The sequence below is a fragment of the Homo sapiens genome, chromosome 1 (genome assembly GCF_000001405.40).
Source record: "Homo sapiens chromosome 1, GRCh38.p14 Primary Assembly".
Lineage (NCBI taxonomy): Eukaryota > Metazoa > Chordata > Mammalia > Primates > Hominidae > Homo > Homo sapiens.
Window position 1 is genome coordinate 83,853,291 of NC_000001.11, and position 19,619 is coordinate 83,872,909.

At 35.5% G+C, this 19,619-nt stretch overlaps 1 protein-coding gene and 2 long non-coding RNA genes across 6 annotated transcripts in view, besides 2 other annotated features; all 3 read right to left on the reverse strand.

Moving 5' to 3' along the window:
- LOC101927560 (uncharacterized) overlaps positions 1–7,256 on the reverse strand; it is a 59,031-nt gene extending 51,775 nt beyond the window's left edge. The window contains exon 1 of the long non-coding RNA NR_119374.1: positions 7,118–7,256. This is a non-coding gene — a long non-coding RNA (uncharacterized LOC101927560). The remainder of the gene's footprint in view (positions 1–7,117) is intronic.
- LINC01725 (long intergenic non-protein coding RNA 1725) overlaps positions 1–7,706 on the reverse strand; it is a 285,210-nt gene extending 277,504 nt beyond the window's left edge. Inside the window, exon 1 of the long non-coding RNA NR_119375.1 lies at positions 7,529–7,706. This is a non-coding gene — a long non-coding RNA (long intergenic non-protein coding RNA 1725). The remainder of the gene's footprint in view (positions 1–7,528) is intronic.
- Positions 7,385–7,564: a silencer, noted in NCBI's record as "silent region_1010". NCBI's record gives its function as "represses an Ori minimal core promoter by ATAC-STARR-seq in GM12878 lymphoblastoid cells {active_cell/tissue: GM12878}" and the evidence as "EXISTENCE:reporter gene assay evidence [ECO:0000049][PMID:35858748]".
- Positions 7,665–7,794: a silencer, noted in NCBI's record as "silent region_1011". NCBI's record gives its function as "represses an Ori minimal core promoter by ATAC-STARR-seq in GM12878 lymphoblastoid cells {active_cell/tissue: GM12878}" and the evidence as "EXISTENCE:reporter gene assay evidence [ECO:0000049][PMID:35858748]".
- Positions 11,734–19,619, reverse strand: part of TTLL7 (tubulin tyrosine ligase like 7) — a 134,109-nt gene continuing 126,223 nt past the window's right edge. For all 4 annotated transcript variants that reach the window (NM_001350215.2, NM_024686.6, NM_001350214.2 and 1 more), the window contains one exon: positions 11,734–16,792. In NM_001350215.2, the coding sequence (NP_001337144.1) occupies positions 16,672–16,792 (121 nt within the window). In that variant the 3' untranslated portion in view covers positions 11,734–16,671. The remainder of the gene's footprint in view (positions 16,793–19,619) is intronic.

Below are 19,619 nucleotides of genomic sequence, written 5' to 3' on the forward strand. Positions count from 1 at the left end.
GGACAGATTATAAGCAAGAAGAAAAATTCTGTGATACCTAGAATACCACATGTCAACAAACTTGGCTCAGTCAACATTTTACTTTATTTCATAATCCCATATAATTAACTCCCCAGTGTAAAATAAAAATCAAGTTTTACAAATATATTAATCACACCCTTTTCTAAAGCACTACTATTCTAAAATCAGTTGGATTATTTACTTTATTCATTCTTATTTTGGGGCTTTTTATTATTAAGCCTTAGCCTTTGTCAAACTTAGCTCAAAGTACTGAGTGATAAATATTATCAACTGATTTTTCCTGAAATCTTTGCCTCCTTCCAATCTACTTCATGAAATTTATGAATCCACAGCTGTAGATTGCTACAGCTCCCTGTCTCTAACCTGCACAACATGTCTGAGTTCTCTCTGTGGGACCTATGATCCTTTGTTCTGACGGCTGCCTTCTCTCTATGCTATGTGGTCGGAGAAAGTTTTGAAGATCTTTTGGTCGCGTTTCTGCATTTGGAGCTTAAATTGAAAGTCAACTGCACCACTTGCACTGCTACCCAGAGCATCTGTGTAGCTCAAACATCCCCTGCCCTCTGCGAATCCCCATAACAGTCCTTACTGACTTCAGGCTCAACTCTCACAGTGGGCCATGAGTAATTTAGTTCGGTTGAAACTTAGGCAATATATACTCTGTGCTAGACAATCTGATAGGTGTCTGGAGACACAAAATGGAAAGACAGGAACCTTCTTTTGATTAAGTAGTGCACAATTTCATAAGAGGGCAAAACGTGAATAATCACAAGAAAGTTTTAATGCAACATTAGAAATCAGGATTATATAGCCTTGACATAAAAGACTGAGGTACTTTTTAATGGGGACAGTAGTGGCAGGTGGGGACTTTTGACAGATTTCAGGTCAGAGGAATAGTATTTCACAAAAGGAAAAGCAAGGAAATAAACAGTAGAGCTTCTTCTGAGAGTCTGCATGGGGTATACGGAGTACATGCTATGGATAAGTAAAGAGCGGCTCAAAGAGTTTATGTAAAAGGCTGAAGACAGCAGCACTAGTATTCGAAGCAGAATTAGTACATAGGTCTATCTGACTCCAGAATTCATGTTCTCTACATTACTGCCTCAGAATAGACGTCATTTACTGTCTGTGTTATACAGACAGTATGTGATGCTTGCTTAATTCCTTGTTTGGTACCTGTGCTTCCCATATGTTCAATCTAATTTAAACTGGCTTCCTTCCCACTCATTGAAACTGCCCTTATGAAGGTGACACACAGCCTCATGTTGACTAATCCACCTCTCTTATCTTACCCAACTTCTACATAGCTTTCAACTCCTTGCAACAATTTCTCCCTTCATCCCTGTGAATCCACAAACCCCTGACCTCTGACCTCTGACCTCAGTGGCTGTTCTTTTTCAGTCTCCCTACTACCTTCTCATCCCTTCACCACCTCCAGCACAGAAATACCTAGTCATGGCTGTGCATCTTTCTTCTCTCTACTTCCCCCCCGCCCCCCCCAAATTAGCTCATTTCAACATCATGGTCTTAAATGTCTCTAACCTTGAATATCCAAATGGCAGAGGAGTGGCTAAAAATGTAAACTCTGGATCCAGGCTTCCTGGATTCTAATCCCCAATCCACTGATTATAAACACTTAAGTTAGGTGCTTAACCCCTCTGTGCCTCAGATCTCTTACCTAAAAATGGAAAAGACAATGGTAGCTATCTTTATACACAGCTACCTTCCCTACAGCTTCACTTAGATATCAAATTTAATGTGTCCTAAACTGAATTCTGTATTCTCATCCCTTCATAAGCCTGTTCCTCCCCACGTAAATAAATATCATCATAAACTCAGATACTCAAGTCAAAACATTTAAGCACATCCTCTAGTCTTTCCCTTTATTGACTCCCAACAGCAGCAAGTCTCAACTGCTGATACGTATGTATCCTCCAAAATATGTTTCAAACCTCTCCAGTTTTCTTCATCTCCTCTTTCCCACTCTAACCCTAATACCATCATCTCTTACTTAGACAACTTTAGTGGCCAACAAACTGACCTTATATTCACACTTGCCACCCTACAATCTATTTTCCATATAGAAGTAAGAATTATCTTCTTCAAGGGAATAGCAGATCACATCTCTCCTCTGCTAAAAACCTTCCAGTGGCTTCCCACTGAACTTAACATCCAGACTCTACACCATGACCTAAAACGCCCCATGTAAATAGCTCCTTCCTTTCCATCCTCTCTGTACCACCCTCCCTGACTCCTCACACAGCAGTCACAATGGCCAATTTCTGTTCCTTAAACATGCCATCTTGTGTCACTCCAGGACTCTTGAGCTTCCATGGAATGTTCTTCCACTGGCAAAGATATATTTGATTGCTAGTACTTACAGAAGCGCCTGGCACATAGTATGTGCTCAGTATGTATCTGTTTAACAAATTGATGGATTTACAGTTCTTTAAAGTTAAGATTTCATTCATTTAATTTCTATTTTAAATTACTAGGGGTGCTCTCTGTGTAAAGGAACCCTGAAGTGAAATATTTTTAAATGTGTAGAATCATTCTTAAGTTACAATTTTAAAAATAGGATTTTTGCCATTTTTATATAGGCAATTGTAATTGGCTCCTTATATAGGATAGATAGATAGATAGATGATAGATAGATAGATAGATAAACAGATAAGACAGAGACAGAAAGGTATCTATTTCTACATATATACAAATGATCTAAGAACATGCTTTTTTATGAAAAAAAAAGGTGGCTCACTGAATACATAAAACTTGTTATAGTCTGAGATAACAATGTTAAATATAAAATTGGACCAAGGATCTAGAAATAATTACTACTTTTTCAAGCCTTGGTACAAAAAGATAAGAGTAGTACCACACCACAAGGGTTCACAAGGCAAATGCCTTCTTTTGGCATTGACATTCCTAACACATGCCTGTCAACATTCTGAACAGCAAGCTATAGAAATCATACAAATGTTTATACAGAATTTTTTAAATCCACAAGCTCTTGCCTATAAAGACTTCTAAAAATAAATATTTTAACAACAAATCATTTATGTGCATTTTTTCTGAATTTTTCTTAATTTACAATCACATAAAAATAACTTTACTGAAAGCACAGAACTGTTGCATTTATTTGTAGCCATTACCTTTTTTTTTCTTTTTCTTCCCCTATCCTGGTAAATGCTTCCCACTCCCAAGGCTGAAAAGTACCTGAAGATCTGTAAATCATGACTTTAATAAGTATAATAAATCATTTGTTACAGTTATTTTTAAGACTTGACCTTATCGAGTTTTAACTGATATGTTTTGCAGGTACTCCTGCTGTTATATGGAAGCAATATAAGTTTAATATTTAGTTACTGCAACCTAAGGACACTTTGTTTTACTGAAGTATGAAAACTGTGAGTGGAAACGGTGTCCCTAAAATAATTAAGGCAAGACTTTAAGCCACAAAATACAGCAAAGTTTCTAATTAAGGTTAATCTTTGAAAGTTCAAAATTTAGTGATGAAATCTTCAGGCTTCCATTTTATGGTCAAATGTCAGTTGTTTATATTCAAACAACTGCCATTACATTTAACAGTACTAAAATCTTAAAGAAAATTTCCAGACATACCAGTTCTCTTAAAGTTGGATATATACTGTCTTAAAACAAAATTTAAAATCCACCATTTACACATTTAAAACTATTGCAATTTTTCCTAACCTTATTAGCACAGATGGAGAAACTGTATCCTGTTGAAAGCCATTTGTGACAGGAAAAGCAATGTCAATTTTTAGACACTCATAAATGTGCACCATAAGTGAAATCATAATGAAGTAACATATTGTGCATATGAAATACCTAAAGACAAAAAGATGATCTCTATAGAATGCATCATCAACTGCCATAACCCTAACTAATCACTGCACTTCATCCATCAAGTTCAGAAGCAGATGAAGTAATAGATTCCTAAGTAACACATGTACATGACCCTACTGCTTGCAATGTAAAATGGCCACTTCAATATATTTTGTTACGTGTGCTTATGTTGCTCTCTCTTGGTGGAAAAGCTGTACTGTTCAAATTGATTACCACTGATTTTTTAAAACTTTTTTAAAGGCTTTCATGTTAAGAGAACCAGTTTGTTTTGATACAGTATTTTCAATGCCATTTGCACAAATTAAAATGCTAATTGCTAACCTTAGAACAGCTAGAACTACTTTAAATAATTCCGAGTTTCTAAATTGATGTGAATTAAAAGCTGGTTGGAGCACACACTAAAATGTTTTCATTTATGGACTCCCAGGAGATTTCATCTTGTAATAAACAAAGTACCAAACAAAATGAAGAGCAAGAGGGTACTAACTCTGTAAGAATTCAGCTGTGAAAACCTGATTCACTGAAAGAAGGTGAAAATATTGGTAGAGTCTCCTAAGTGCTCCATGCATTTATATATTTGCAGAAACAAACTATGATTCATTTTTTTAAAAGTTACTGGATAAACATAAGTGTTAGTAGAAGTCCAAACATGTAACAGAAAAAAAAAATTTTGTGATAACCAATTTTAAGATGAGAACCAGTGGCATGCTGTAGCCGGCTGGTGCCGGTTTGTGAGAGCTGACTGTGCACATATCTTCCCAACTCCATGTTTAGTGGCATAATTTTGACAGTTGAAATCTGTCATGGTGGGAGTTTTTACATTACAGAAATTTTCAGTCATTGTAAGTAAGGGTTTTGTCTTTCTTTTTGTACTTGTTTCTTTTTTTTAATTTTATTTTTTGGAGGACTGGTTGTTATTTACCAGCATACCACTAGAAATGCCAAAGAACATGCCAAAAAGAAAATCTTTCTCCCTTTGGCTAATGACATTTAAAAATGTTTCTTAATTGCAAAGGATATAAATGCCAAATAAAGGGCTTCTCAGAGGAAGTCCCTCCTTTTAGTACACTGATAAATCAAACAATATATAGCATTTTATGGTCAGAATAGAAACTATTCACAATGACTATTTCCTCTCTTGCAAATCAAGAGTCTTTTCAGAGAGTGGCACGGCAGTTGAATTTCTAACCAGTTCTCTACAGTAGTCAAAAACAGCTGAGTAACCTTTGGAAAATTGTTCACTTATCAAAACACTACACTCAACCAAAGTGAAAAAATGTTTTGTATGCTGCTGTATTTTAAATATGAGACTGGTAACATAGATGTTCAATAGCATGAATGAAGATGTCAAAAATGGAAGCAAAAAGTCTGGCAAAGACTTGAAAATGATGCTTCATAAGCCAAGCCCCTCGTGTGCTCACTGGGTTACCCTCACCTTTAGAAGAAGGCAAGACTTGGGAACGTTTTAGGGTCTTCCTTTCACTTGGGAGATTTACCCATAAGTTCAGAGAAACAACTTCAGAAAACAACTGTTAGGGCATTTAAAATCTTAGAGAAGCACCTCCTATCTAGAAAACATGAGAGTTTAACTTCTGAAGCATCACGGTCTTCTGCAGCTCACATATGTGAACAGCATGGAAATAAACTCGTAATGCACGGTCTGGTAGCTTGCGCTTGCATTAGGTACAGCGCACTGTGTGGGGAGGATTATCAAGGGAAGGTTTGATTGACTATTACTCCAGTTCTGTCTATGCCCCCAGGACCCACTTGAAGACATTATACTTCAAGGTGACTATTCTGTTGAAGAGAACATAATATTAATTAATTAATGATTACATATAAATAATGGAAAAAGACTAATTGAGCGATAGTTCAGCTAAATAGCCCCAACAATGTCACCAGCAGTGACGGTACTGCTGAGCAACTGATAAACAGTACCAGCCATGGAGGGCAGAAACAGAGCCTTTTAAATTCATCTTTTCATGTATTTCCTTATAATGAAAGCAAATAACAAAAGCATGTTTTAGGCAAAAAGGTGTTAAAGAAAATATAATCATTGAACAGCAAGTGTTATTTGTTTACACAAACACTAAAACCTCAGAATAAAAAGATAGCTCATGATGTAGGATTGTTTCCAATTATTGGCAGAAGGACAGAAAGATCATCATATCAGTAACAAAGAACAATCATGCTGCAAAGAACAATCAATGGAAATGCAATTTTCAATGTTACAAATCATTAAGCTGAAGATATATGAGTATCAGTTTCAAATATAACATGTAATCAGAATCTGCTGTAAAACCAGATAAAAAATAACTTTGAAAAACTGTACTAAATCAACGAGTTATTTATTTACTAAAATAAAAATCTGACTTCTGGGTACAGTCATTCTGAAGGCTCTATCGTAGGGAATGAAAATGAGACTTCATCTCTTAACTTTAGAAATACAAAAATCTTCATAACAATCTTATGGGGACTATAATTATCATCCCCATTTCACAGATAAGCAAAATGAGAAACAAGGTATTAAGCAACTTATACAAGGTCAGCCCATTAGTAAGTGGTGCAGCTGGGATGTAAACTCTGGCAGTTTAGCTCCTGAGTCCAGCCTCTTAGCGACTACATTACACACCTCTCATCTGGATAAAACATAAAACTGTAGAAAATCCAGGAGTCCTTTCTAAAGAGAGAGGTTTTAGCTGGGTTTTGGAGGTACGTTGTCTTTTTTTTTCTTTTTGCCTCTTTCTACTATATGCCCTTATTTATAACCTAAAATATTAGATATGAAATTCTGCCTTCTGTTAAGCAAATGACCCATTATGCCTGATGTCCATAAGGGCCATTCCATCTGGAAACCAGAGCTAGTCCCTTAATTGTTCCATGCTAATAGTTAATAGAACATTTGATAGAATTCCTTACATATACCTTTGTTATTTAGCCTTATGACATTTCATTAGAATTATTTAGATGACTTTTTCCTGTACTAGAATTTGAACTCATGGAAAGTGAGGATGTTATTAATAATTTGTTTCTCTGTTATCTAGCATAGCAATTGACACACAGCTGACACTCAACATACATTTGTTAAATAGAAATTACATGCCACAAAGAAAGAAAGCCTGAAAGAAACAACCTTAGCCTGCATATTAAACGCACAGATAATTGCCTGTTTTACACTAAATGAACTTTTTAACAACAATGAAAAAAATTTTTGGACAACTTTCCTGACCTCTATCCTTTATTCCTCATGTAAAATAGGTCAAAAAGTCTGAACGATCCTTTCTCAGACATGTCTCCTGAATCTGGATCATCACCATGCCACCCGGGGTAGGCTCTGGTCCTAACCGGCCTGGACTCTGAGCAACGGTGTCCTGACTGCTCTCCTGACAACTGTCACTCCCAGGCCCGGCCACTCGCCGTCTCAGCGCCCCCTCGCGGCCCTTCTCTACCCACCTCGGGACTTCCCAGGCCTCCTGGCTGCGCCGCAGACCCTCCCCGTCCCAGATCCCGCCAGGGCCCACTCGGGCTCCAGCCGCTGCCTGGGACAGCCAAAGGCCGGCCCGGGCGGTTCTTCCCCAGGTGGTCCGGGGCGTCCCGGGCCGCACTGGCCTGGCCCATGGGCCCCGAAGAAGGCGCTCACCCAAGGACCACTGTCCGAGCGGCTTCCCCCGGCCCGGCCTGGTGCCGCGTCCCCACCAGCCCGGGGTGGCAGGTTCTACTCGGGAAGCCTGTTTTATGTCTTCTTTCACGCCCATATCACACCGACAAGGGTGAAGCTGTGGAACTTATACCTCGGCTGGGCCCCGCCGCCAACTCCTAGGGCACGGGAACTGCGCACAGGCCGGGGTTCCGCGAGGGGCGGAGCTTCCCGCTCTGCCCTCGGGCAGGTGAGCCGGAGCCTGGCACGTGGGCCTGGGTGTCCTGACAGCCCTGGCCCCCGCCGCCTCTGTACCAGGGAGAGCGCCTGGAAGGCGCCGCTGCCTCTCTCTCCCTACGTGCCCACCTGCCTCTAGGAACTGGTGAGTTACTTCAGTTCTATGTGAGTCTCCAGTGCCACAATTTAGTGTGTACACCAAACGGTGTTATTGAATAGATGAAGATGATTACCACCTGGTAATGAGTTTCCTTAGTCCCGTTCTTATAGAACCTGAAACTCAACGCTAACCACCCCCCCCCCCCGACTTAGAATCACAAACTAGATAGAATCTTTCTGACAATCGGGTGAGTTGGGTTTAATATGCAATGAGGAAATTATACTTTACTCCAAAAACTAGTGCTTGTTATTTTCCTCACAACAAAACTCTCAGATAGACAAAGTTGGCAACCCTATTCCACTCAGCTAGTCGATAAAAGAACCAGGATGGAACTATGATGGGAACCCACATCTTCAGCTTCCTATTGCAGTGTATGTTCTATTACATATGAAAAAGAGACAATAAAGTAGAGGATAAGTAGGACGCTAAAGAAGTAAGGAAAGGAGAGAATCCAGTGTTTGTAAGGAGCTTTGTTTTATTTTCCCAAAGCTTGGAGATTACTTGGCAAAGTGTGATGGTGCTACACAGCCCGTAAGAAATTTGTAATCACCCATCTAACAAGTACCTAGGCTGGATCTGCAAACTGCGTGGAAATTTCTAGCACGTGTGGGAAGAAGCATGATCAACATTTCTTAGACCATTTCAGGTCCGGAAGTGGCCCTCTTGCAGTTTAGCAGGACATATATTCTCAAGAGATTCTGAGTAGCCACAGAACTTACAGAAGTTGTCATTATTTACCTACTGCTCAGAAAAACAGGACACTGTCTGTGGGCCAATTTGCTAAGAAAAAAATTTAAATAATATGTAAATAAATGTAAATAATGTAGAAGCACAATCTGCCTTTGCTTTTTCTTATAAATATAAGAAAATATTTTCATTAAAATAACCAAAAAATAGACAAGATTTACCCAGCACCTTTAGAATGAAAGTAACGTGGCAGTGCTTCACTGGGAAAAAGTGAAGCTGAATGAGATGAAATTTAGAAACTGAGAAATGGTCAGGAAAAAACAAGAATTCAAAAAGCAAATAGAAGTATTATTTGACTGAAAAACCTGAGGCTAAAATATGAAATCAAGCTAATTTCTGAGGTATCTACTTATTCTTTGTTTCAAGACAAGTCTGACTCCAGTTTGGGGAGAGTCAAACAGAATGGAATTAGCTAAATTTGCTTATTTTTAAAACTCCCCTCAATTTCTCCCCCAAATTTGAGTTTCCCTTTGTACTTCTCCCATTATGATGTAGAAGATTTACTAAACAAATATCAATTTGGACTAAAATGATATTAGGTTTTGATGATCTACCTATTTTTAGCCTAAGGACTAAGTGGTTTTCTGAATTCACATTTTCATCGTTTTAATGAAAATGAGGCAATATGCTGAAATGGTATTTTCTTAGATTGTATTAAGGTTTATATACCTAGATTTTTCACATACACTGTGTCATATACTTTTCCTCTAAATCCAATATATTATGAACACACAGGTAACGTTTTTACTGCTAACAGCATGCTGTAGGTTTAAAAAAATTATTGTTTCTTGACCTTTTACAAGTTATTCTAACACTAACAGCAGCATAGCTATAACAGGACAGAACTTGACTAAATATATTAATATAGAGTTTTATTATCCTTGATAATTTTTCTCACTGCAGTGTCTAGTTAATACTTAAAGGGTTTTTGTATGTTTGCACCCATTCTTAGAGAGGACAAGAGTTTGAATTTGCATATTCTCACCGTATGTTTCTATTACAATATCAAAGATTGAAGGCTGCCTTAATAAAACATTTCAAAAACAATGAGAGTCCATTGCTGTGCAATAGTCAAAACACTACTCAGTCTAAAAAATCTTAGTATTTTTGATAACCGTATAAAATAGCACAATTTAGGTCACTAAGTGCCATCAGCATATACTCCCTAAATATACCAAATAGTGGTATATTTATTGCATTTTTAAAGAAGGAGGTTAATTTAGCAGTATTTCACATGGAACCATACAGAATGGAGTATGATAAAATTTCTTAAGGCCTAACATGTTGCTTAAAGAAAACTTAGACACAGAAAAAATATCTGACTTGATAAATGCTGTCTCTCACAAATATGACAAACTCTGAATAAATTCCAGCTTTGAAGGAAGGAAGCCAGCCACAAACAGGCCTTTTTGTTTTGTGTAAGAAGATACTTGCAGATGGCCAGCAAGTGTTTCTAGATATATCCTGTTATTATGCAAAGTTCTCATCTGCTGATGGATGACTTTAGACTATTAAAGATGAACTTTTATCATATATGACCCAATAAATAATTAATATCTATTCATAAAGGCTTGGATCACATTCTGACCACACTCTCAAGCATTTTGCATTACTTCACATGTCGTGATTATGTTGCAAATATCTAATATAATGCATGTTTATCATTAGGGTTATTTACCTCTGGCCATCCTTCCTGGCCTCAAGCCATCCCTCTTGAAACCCTGGTTCAAATATTCCCCTGGAAATGACCAAATTCTCAAGTGACAAGTGCAAGTAAATTTCTTGCACCAGATTTGTCAGTGTTCATATTTATACCACCAGTCTATATTTGATAAATATATGATTAAATGCTTTGATTACTTTATTAGTGAATGAATTTGTGTATTTTGGTGTTTTCCAAAGTGTGCTCAATAGAAGTCTAGTCCCGGGAGATGCGCTGCAATAAAAGATACCATGGTGAAATTAGTTTGGGAACTGATGCATGTTGCTGTCCCTTTCTGGAAAATGTCAGTGCATCTGAGGATACTAAAGACTCTTGGAAGTACTGAAAGTAGAGAAACACCTTCCAATTTGTATACCGTTTCCCAATTTGCCTGACCATGGCGATGGGTATCGTTGTCACTATGCTGTGTACATACCTGATGAATAACCATTAAAAGATAACTCTCTTCCAGTTAAAGATTATGTTATGCTCTACAAAAGAACCAAATGCTTATTTTGTTTTTAAGGTACTATATAGTTTTCTAACACTTGAAATTATTCCAAGATTATTTTTATAATTTAAAAAAGATTTTCATTCAATTAAAAATGAAATTATATATATAATTAAAATTATTTGATAAAATAGGGAGATAGCAAACTACCCACATTGGCCTCATCTTTAGGAGTCATTGAAAGAAATCAATTCAACTTTCAAAGCCTTTATAGAATATTTTAACTTTATAAAAATAATGAATTTTTAAGAATATATTTTTAAGAGTCAACCATTATACCATTTGGTTGTCAGTTCCAAAAAGCAAGGCATACATGCATTAACATCCCGATTTCCTAAATTTTTATCCAAAGTGCATCTTTTTTTAAAGAAAACTATTCTAGATACTTTATGCATAATTATCCTAAAGAACAATGGCATAAATGGCAATATATGCTTATTTTTGAGGCTTAGTATTCTAAGTTTTAACAATGAGATTATAAATTACTGAAAAAAATGAACTTCATAGCGGAGATGCTGACATAATTGTAATCAGATAGTAATAGTTTTGCTATAATCCATGATGCTAGATACAAAAATGTCATTTCTAAATTTTAGAAGTCGGCCTACTAGCTAACTATGAGAGTTGACACCAATTATGTTGACTTGACCTGACTTTAATAGCAGGTAAAGTTATCCCCATAGTGCTATTGCTGTCTGTACACAGTAAAAATTACTGTAAAAATATATCTCTTCACTCTGAAACCTTAATTGGGAGCCAATGTCTTCTATAACAAAAACCGTGTGTGTGTGTGTGTGTGTGTGTGTGTGTGTGTGTGTGTAAAACAGAAATAAGCATTTGATGACATATTGTAGCTTTCTTAGGTTAAACTTTTTTATTATAGTAATGTATCAGAGTAATTGAAATAACTTCACCATACAGATATCACATGCTGGAGCATGACAATGCAACGCTAATTGCACACTGTATTGACATTTCAAGCATATTTTCTGTAACAACATTTGCATTCATATACAGGTAGTAAAGCACACGGGGATAATGTGAGTCATGATTCATGTTAGCAAATGTATTGCTTTCAAGCTAATCCTCATACCCAGAATCTGCAGCAAAACCATTAATATTCAGATGTTGTAGCATGTACAGTAGTTATTGTATGAACTGAATAGCTCAGGACCAAGAATTGCTGTTAGCCTTTGAAAGAGAAATATCAGTGTTATTTCATTACTTTTGTAAGGTAAGCCTTATTACTAATTTAGGAACTATTGGTCCATTGATTGTACCTGTAGATAATACAGCGCAGTTAATGTAGAATGTGTAACTTGAGTAATTTTCCCTAATATACGATACATCCCTTTATGACGAGGTCCAAAAAGCACCAAAAAATGGCAGCAATCTCAAAGTGTGCAGTAAATTTTAATATACCAATTTTGGTTGCAAGACTTATTTGTAGCCATATATCTTGCTTTATATGTATCCAGACAATAAACGCTTTTTTAGGCATAGAGGCTTCAACCTGGTTCTTAAAAATAATCTCAGCAGACAAACTGAACTTGATGCAACAACATATTTTATGTTTTATTATTGCTGAGGCAAAATCACACCACCATAAAATGCAAGGAAAACCAATGTTTAAAAGGCAGAATTTCTCTTTTCTTGAGGCTTTGTTAATACAAAGGTCAAAATTTCACCTTTGAACTAAAAAAGAAATAAAGAATAGGCAGTGTAAGTAACAAAATTGTCATCATGAATATATTTCTAAATTTTTATTTATTTATAAGTCAACATTAGCCCAAAATATTTAGATAACTAATACGGCCCTTGAAAACTTAAATTTCTTAAAGAGAAAAGCAAATTTTCAAAAAATCATCAGGTCACAAGAACACAATTAATTGTACAGTTATACATTTTATTTAACCCCTATGACCATGTAAACTAAGACTCAAAGTTTAAATTAGCATTACAGAACAGAAAAGGAAAGTTTTCTGTCACTCTTGAGGTATTTACTATTTTTTAAAGAATACACATTTAAGAATGAATCAATGTTTTTTAGAAAATCAAATAATGGCATTTCTGCAGCTATCAATTTTTTGATACTTTTGAAAAAGTCAAGTAATGTATATGCTTAAATCTAAAGAAATTTTTTAACTATTAGTACTTTGACATGCTAAAGAAGAACGTATTTGGATTATTAAAACATCTGAAATTTCAAGTTAGATACAAAATTCCATACTCATATATTTTACAAATTAAAAAGACAGTTAAAATGAAATCTTTTTATTGATGTCTAGAAGCTACTATTATCTAGTTGGGTATAACTATTAGATGAAAAGAAGTTTAGGTTTCTTCATTTGGGTTTGGTTTGGTTTTAGTTTTAGGGAGAAAGAAATAGTTGAAACTGTTTGTATATTTAGAAATAATTTTGACCTATGATAAAATTTGTATAGATCTTTGCATCTTACCGACAACCAAGGACATTCAACTATGTTCTAGGCAGAGTTACCATTGCCATTTCCATATTTGATCCTGTTACAACTTCATTTTTACATATTTAAGGTAAATGCAATGCTACTAAAATAAAAATTTGTTGCTAGTAAAATTAATCAAAATATGAATAACAATAGTTTCTTCAATAGATTATATAGAGCAAATGGTAACTAATCTATAATGATGGATTAGTCAAGTGAAAACTAGTTTGCAGTCTCAGACTACGTTTGTAAGTGATGATTTAAAATAAAAAAGGTTGTTTCTTAGACATTTCTAGAAATTATTCAAATATTGCATAGTTCTAGAAAGCATTCCAATCTTAGATTTACTGAATGAGCAGGGATATGTTTTTCTATAGCAGAATGAAAATATGCTTTCATTGTAAGTAAACCCAGTTCCCCTATTAAAAACCTCTGGTAAGATTAAGTAGCTTTTGGAGTTTTCAAATAAAGCTATTTTCTCTCCTAGAAAAGGGAGTCACACCTGTACAATCACTTATGCTTATATGTTTTAACCTATGAATAAAAATTTATAATAAAAACTTGGGAATATTTTATACCTCTAAATCATTTCCATGGCCTCCCAACACTTCCATGGTTTATTGTTGTGTCTTCTCTTAGTTGCTCATTAGGGAATAGCACTACAGCAGACACAGTCCATAGCATACCAGGTAGTATATATAAATAATGAACACAAGGCTTTTATTCACAACTTCATCATATCAAACTACATCAGTCTAAATAGGCAAATGAAGGCAATAAAATTGTAACGCTCAAAATAAGGCCAGACATAAGTAGCTAGAGAAATGAAATTTATTTGTTGAAATCAATTTGTGGGGTACTTTCATACATTTAAATTTACTCAGTTTTTAAATTGTGTGTGTGTGTGTGTGTGTGTTTTCTGTGAGGAGTGTTTCTCCTAGTGATGGGCATTCTTATTTTTTGTTTTAAATACAAATTTTGCTCTGGTACAAAAGTTGCAAAGCACACACTCCAGCAAATTAAGTAATTATTTGTGATTTAAGATAATGCAAATGAGTGGCCGAGAAACTGGGCTGTTATCATATATCAGACACTTATATATATATTTTTGTGGCCAAATCATGAATTTAAAAGAAAAATGAACTCCATGAAAAGACTTATTACTTGTTGATCATCTTTATGGTGATTCTGTAATATCCCAATTTTTGCATTATTTTTTCTAAAAAAAAATCCATAGCATATTTAAGAATTCACAAAATGGAGTCATAAACAGTGTAGTCACTGTAATTTCCTTCATTCTGATACCCTTATTCTCTTCTTCCACAAATAGCAAATTCTTCTTTGGGATGCATGCAGAGAGGAAAAGTATCTACCAAATGTGGATGTTAGGTAGCCATAAAAAATCAAGTAGCTAGCAATAATTTGGGAAATAAACAAATCATTTCAGCCTAAAAAAGGCTCAGAAGATGGCTTGAAAAGCAAAATACATCTAACTTATAACTTTAGGTTGCCAATTCTTCAGGCTGTGAATTAAACCAGGCCAATTTGCCCCTCTCAGTTCTCCTGCTTTGGGGCCACTTCTTGAAATAACTTTCAGAATAGTAAAAGGAGGTAAAACATTCATGAATTTCGAAAATAATTAGCAGCTAAAAGAAAATAAAACTGTTGGGAGAAGAAGTTTAAATAAATTCTAAGAAGTGATGGCTGCACTGATGATTTCAATGTCAAAGTAGTACGGCTTATATTTTTATGGAAAACTGAAAGCTCACTCTTGGTTTTAAAAACTGTATTCAAGAAAAGGAAGTAAACTGCTATGAAACTTATGCATAACAACTTTGGACAAGAACACTTCGTTCTCTGTTTTGATTTTTTAAAAACCCTCAAGGGTACACTGATGACTTGTAATATGTGATAATTGAAATCTTCTATTCACAATCCTTTAACTGTTTCTGTGGTGCAATGAGAAACTACTGTATTAGAATTTGCAATATAAGTTGATTTCAACCTTGAGAGATTTATAAAAATAAGTTTGTCTCATTATCCTGTAACACTAAAATGAGTGAAATGTGTCAACTCTTCTACTTCTGCGAAACAGGAGAAATTGTATTTAACCACATGTTAAACCCATCAAAGATATACTTTCCAAATAAAAATGAGTGGTATAAGACATAAAAGCCATATAGAAAGATTTTGTTACCATCATTTTCTGTTCCTTTATGTGATTATGAAAAGTAAAAATGAAAGCTAGTTTACATTTTATTTTTAACCCATTGGATTGTCTTCCATTTTATTTATTTATTTTTATCTTCTTTTTATTTATTTATTTATTTTATTTTATTATTATTTTTTTTTTTTGAGACAGAGTTTCACTCTTGTCACCCAGGCTAGAATGCAATGGCACAATCTCGGCTCACTGCAACCTCCGCCTCCCAGGTTCAAGTGATTCTCCTGTCTCAGCCGCCCAAGTAGCTGGGATTACAAGCACTTACCATCACGCCCAGCTAATTTTTGTATTTTTAGTAGAGATGGGGTTTCACCATGTTGGCCAGGCTAGTCTCAAACTCCTGACCAGCGGTGATCCACTCACCTCGGCCTCCCAAAGTGCTGGAATTACAGGCGTGAGCCACCGCGCCCAGCCTGTCTTTCATGTTAGATCATAATATGATCTCACCAGATCCTTACTGAAAATGTACCTTATTACAAGTAGCTAAATTTCCACATAGAGGAATAAAAAGATTGGAGAATCAGGTTATGACTTTTCTAGCACTTTACAGTGTGCTATAGTAATGATAAACCCGTTTTAAACTTCTTAATCTTATCATCAAGCAACACCAGGCTTCTAAATCTTTTTGTTTCATTTAAAATGGCTACTATATATGAGAATTTTTAAGGTATTATACTAAACCCTTTTTCAGGTCAAAAGGCATGTTATCTAGAAAATAATTTAACACTGTAATTGGATCTTCAAGATCAATTTGTTTTATATACTCTGCAGCAAAAATAACATTTCTAGTAGGAAGGAATTAATTATAAACCTAGCAGATTCTAGACATTCACATATTTGTGTAAACAATTTTAACATGGTTTATTACGTTTCCAGAAAGGTTAAGTCTTATATTCCATTTTCTGCTAATTCTTCTTTCATATATCATTTAATATAATAAATATATGTTATTAGGGTGCATATGTGCATATATTTTCACACATATATATGTCTTATATACATAAAACAGCACTTAATGGTCATGTTCTTTGCATGTTCAACTTCAGAGGAAAAAAATGAATTGCTGTTATGTATAACCAATGGCGATCTTCCCTTCTGTTTCACAGATGGCCATATCTGGATGTAAACAAAACATTGGAGCGAGTCATTCCAGGTGAATTGTACTTCAAGTTGTAGGTTGGTGTTCTCAAGAAGAATTGGGTGCTCCCTGGTAGTAAATACCTAAAAATGATGGTTAACAAATTAGATTTTTACAAGCAAATTATAACTAACTCACTAAAGGGTTATGTGGTTAGCAATTTACGTAGTCTATATGAGAAATGTTACTGTAACAAAAATGCAATTCATATAAAAAGATTTCCTCCTCCAGACTGTAGGAAAGGAGAGAAGAGCTAAATATAGATGCAATATATGATGTTAGCATCCCAAGACATCCCATAAAGAGCCACTGTACTCAAATACTGTGAAACTGTTTATGTGGCTAATGTTAATTTAGAATTCATTATCAGTCCTTGTAAGTAATATGTGGAGCCAGTCAAATATTTCTTTAAAACACGTGATTTGAGAATTTGACTAGCCACATTAACAGTAATTGTTTGTTTCAAGGGAGGCGGAACCACTGATTATAATTTAATAATAGATCATTAACGTATTATTACTATAGGTAACCTAATAGAAAAAGTTAAAGATTAACATTCCTAATTAGAATATAAATTTTATATTCTTTGACCATAGAGTGCTCATGATTACAGAATATCAAAAACAATCAGCCAGGCGCAGTGGCTCACGCCTGTAATCCCAGCACTTTGGGAGGCTGAGGCAGGCGGGTCATCTGAGGTTGGGAGTTCAAGACCAGCCTGACCAATGTGGAGAAACCCCATCTCTACTAAAAATACAAAATTAGCCAGGCATGGTGGCAGATGCCTGTAATCCCAGCCACTTGGGAGGCTGAGGCCAGGGAATCACTTGAACTCAGGGGCAGAGGTTGCGGTGAGCTGAGATCGCGCCATTGCACTCCAGCCTGGGGGACAAGAGTGAGACTTCATCTCAAAAAAAAAAAAAATCATGATTACGGGTTGCATGTAACCCTTGCAGCCAAATGTATTTCAAAATATGTGATTTTTTTTTCAGATTTTAGAAAGACAATATGGTGATTTATATATATTATATAGTATACATATTTATATACATTTATATATACTATATTATATAGTAATATTTATATTACTCACTGCAACCTCTGCCTCCAGGTTCAAGCGATTCTCTTGCCTCAGCCTCTCAAGTGGCTGGGATTACAGGCATGTGCTACCACGCCCAGCTAATTTTTTTCTTTGTATTTTTAATAGAGACGGGTTTCACCGTGTTAGCCAGGATGGTCTCAAATGAGTTATGTTTTGTTTTCAACTTTTCAAAGCTTTGGAAATTAGACATTGCAAGTGAAAGATTGTGCACCTGTAGAATCTGTTTTCCTGTGAAAAATCTTGACTAGCATTAGGCCAGTCCAATCTATATGTCTAGAGAGAAATGGTCAAGGAAATCCACATAAACAAATGCAAACAACACTATTCAAAGTGTAAGTCCTAGTAATGATGAGGAGGAAATGCTATAAAATCAGGATAAAGATACTTATGAGGAATTTCCAAGAGCAGAAGCAGCAATATACAGAGATTCGTAATTAGTCTTGGGAAATAAACAGTGGGACGGTATCAAATCGTTTATTTTCTTCACTTGACATTAGAATTCTCCAGGGATAGGCCGGGCGCGGTGGCTCACGCCTGTAATCCCAGCACTTTGGGAGGCCGAGACGGGCGGATCACGAGGTCAGGAGATCGAGACCATCCTGGCTAACATGGTGAAACCCTGTCTCTACTAAAAATACAAAAAAAATTAGCCGGTTGTGGTGGCGAGTGCCTGTAGTCCCAGCTACTCCAGAGGCTGAGGCAGGAGAATGGCATGAACCCGGGAGGCAGAGCTTGCAGTGAGCCGAGATCGTGCCACTGCACTTGAGCCTGGGCGACAGAGCAAGACTCCATCTCAAAAAAAAAAAAAAAAAAAAAGGAAAATAGAATTCTCCAGGGATAGTACCATATTCCCACAGATACATGAAAAACGGAGGGCCAAGGGCACAATTAGCTGTCTATTCTATGTTAAATAATATTGATAACTATGATAATTCTATGTCAATGGAAAATTATAGTTGTGTTATATGAATTATGTAGAAAGAAATGCATTATAATCAAACTATACGCAGCATTCAGATTAAAATAGCAGAACTTTCTATAATATCCATAAACATTTTGTCATGAATTATCTAATAATATCTTCTAAACCTATTACCTAATATCACAAACTATAAATAATTACTCAAATCATTAAGTTAATAGAACAGTAAAATAACATAAAACAAACCAAATTAAATCAATATTGTATAACAGGTGATGAATAATGAAACAAGTGATTTCTCACATCACAGATTATATAAATTATTTTCTTAAGATCACTCGGTTACTTTATATGGATTAATTATTATGTCAACAATTGGTGGGGTCATGATGATTGATCCAGTATTCTCTGCCATGAAAAGGCTATCCTTCCTATCTAGGGCAAAGTTGCAAAAGAAAACGAGGTGTTTTATCAAAATCCACTATTCCATAGTAGTTGAGAGTTATTCTACCTTCTACTGAAAATACATTCTGATTGTACTGATAATTACACAGTAAACAGTAACGTCTACCAACTTTCTTTCAAAGAATTTCCAAGTAATAGTTACTATTGACATTTCAGTAACATTTACATATTCTTTTGAGATAAAGATCACTAGTTGGCACATGAAAAAATAAAAGCACAAAGTCCAGGATCACAAATAACTTACACTATTTTACTGAACAAATATTTAAATAGTGTTTTCTATGTGCCCAGCACTATTCGAATTGCTTTACAGATATCAACTCATTTAGTTCTCATAACAATTCTATATGGCAGATATTACTGTTAGCTCCATTTTACAGATAAATAAACTTCATGAAGCATACAGGGGTCAAATGCCTTG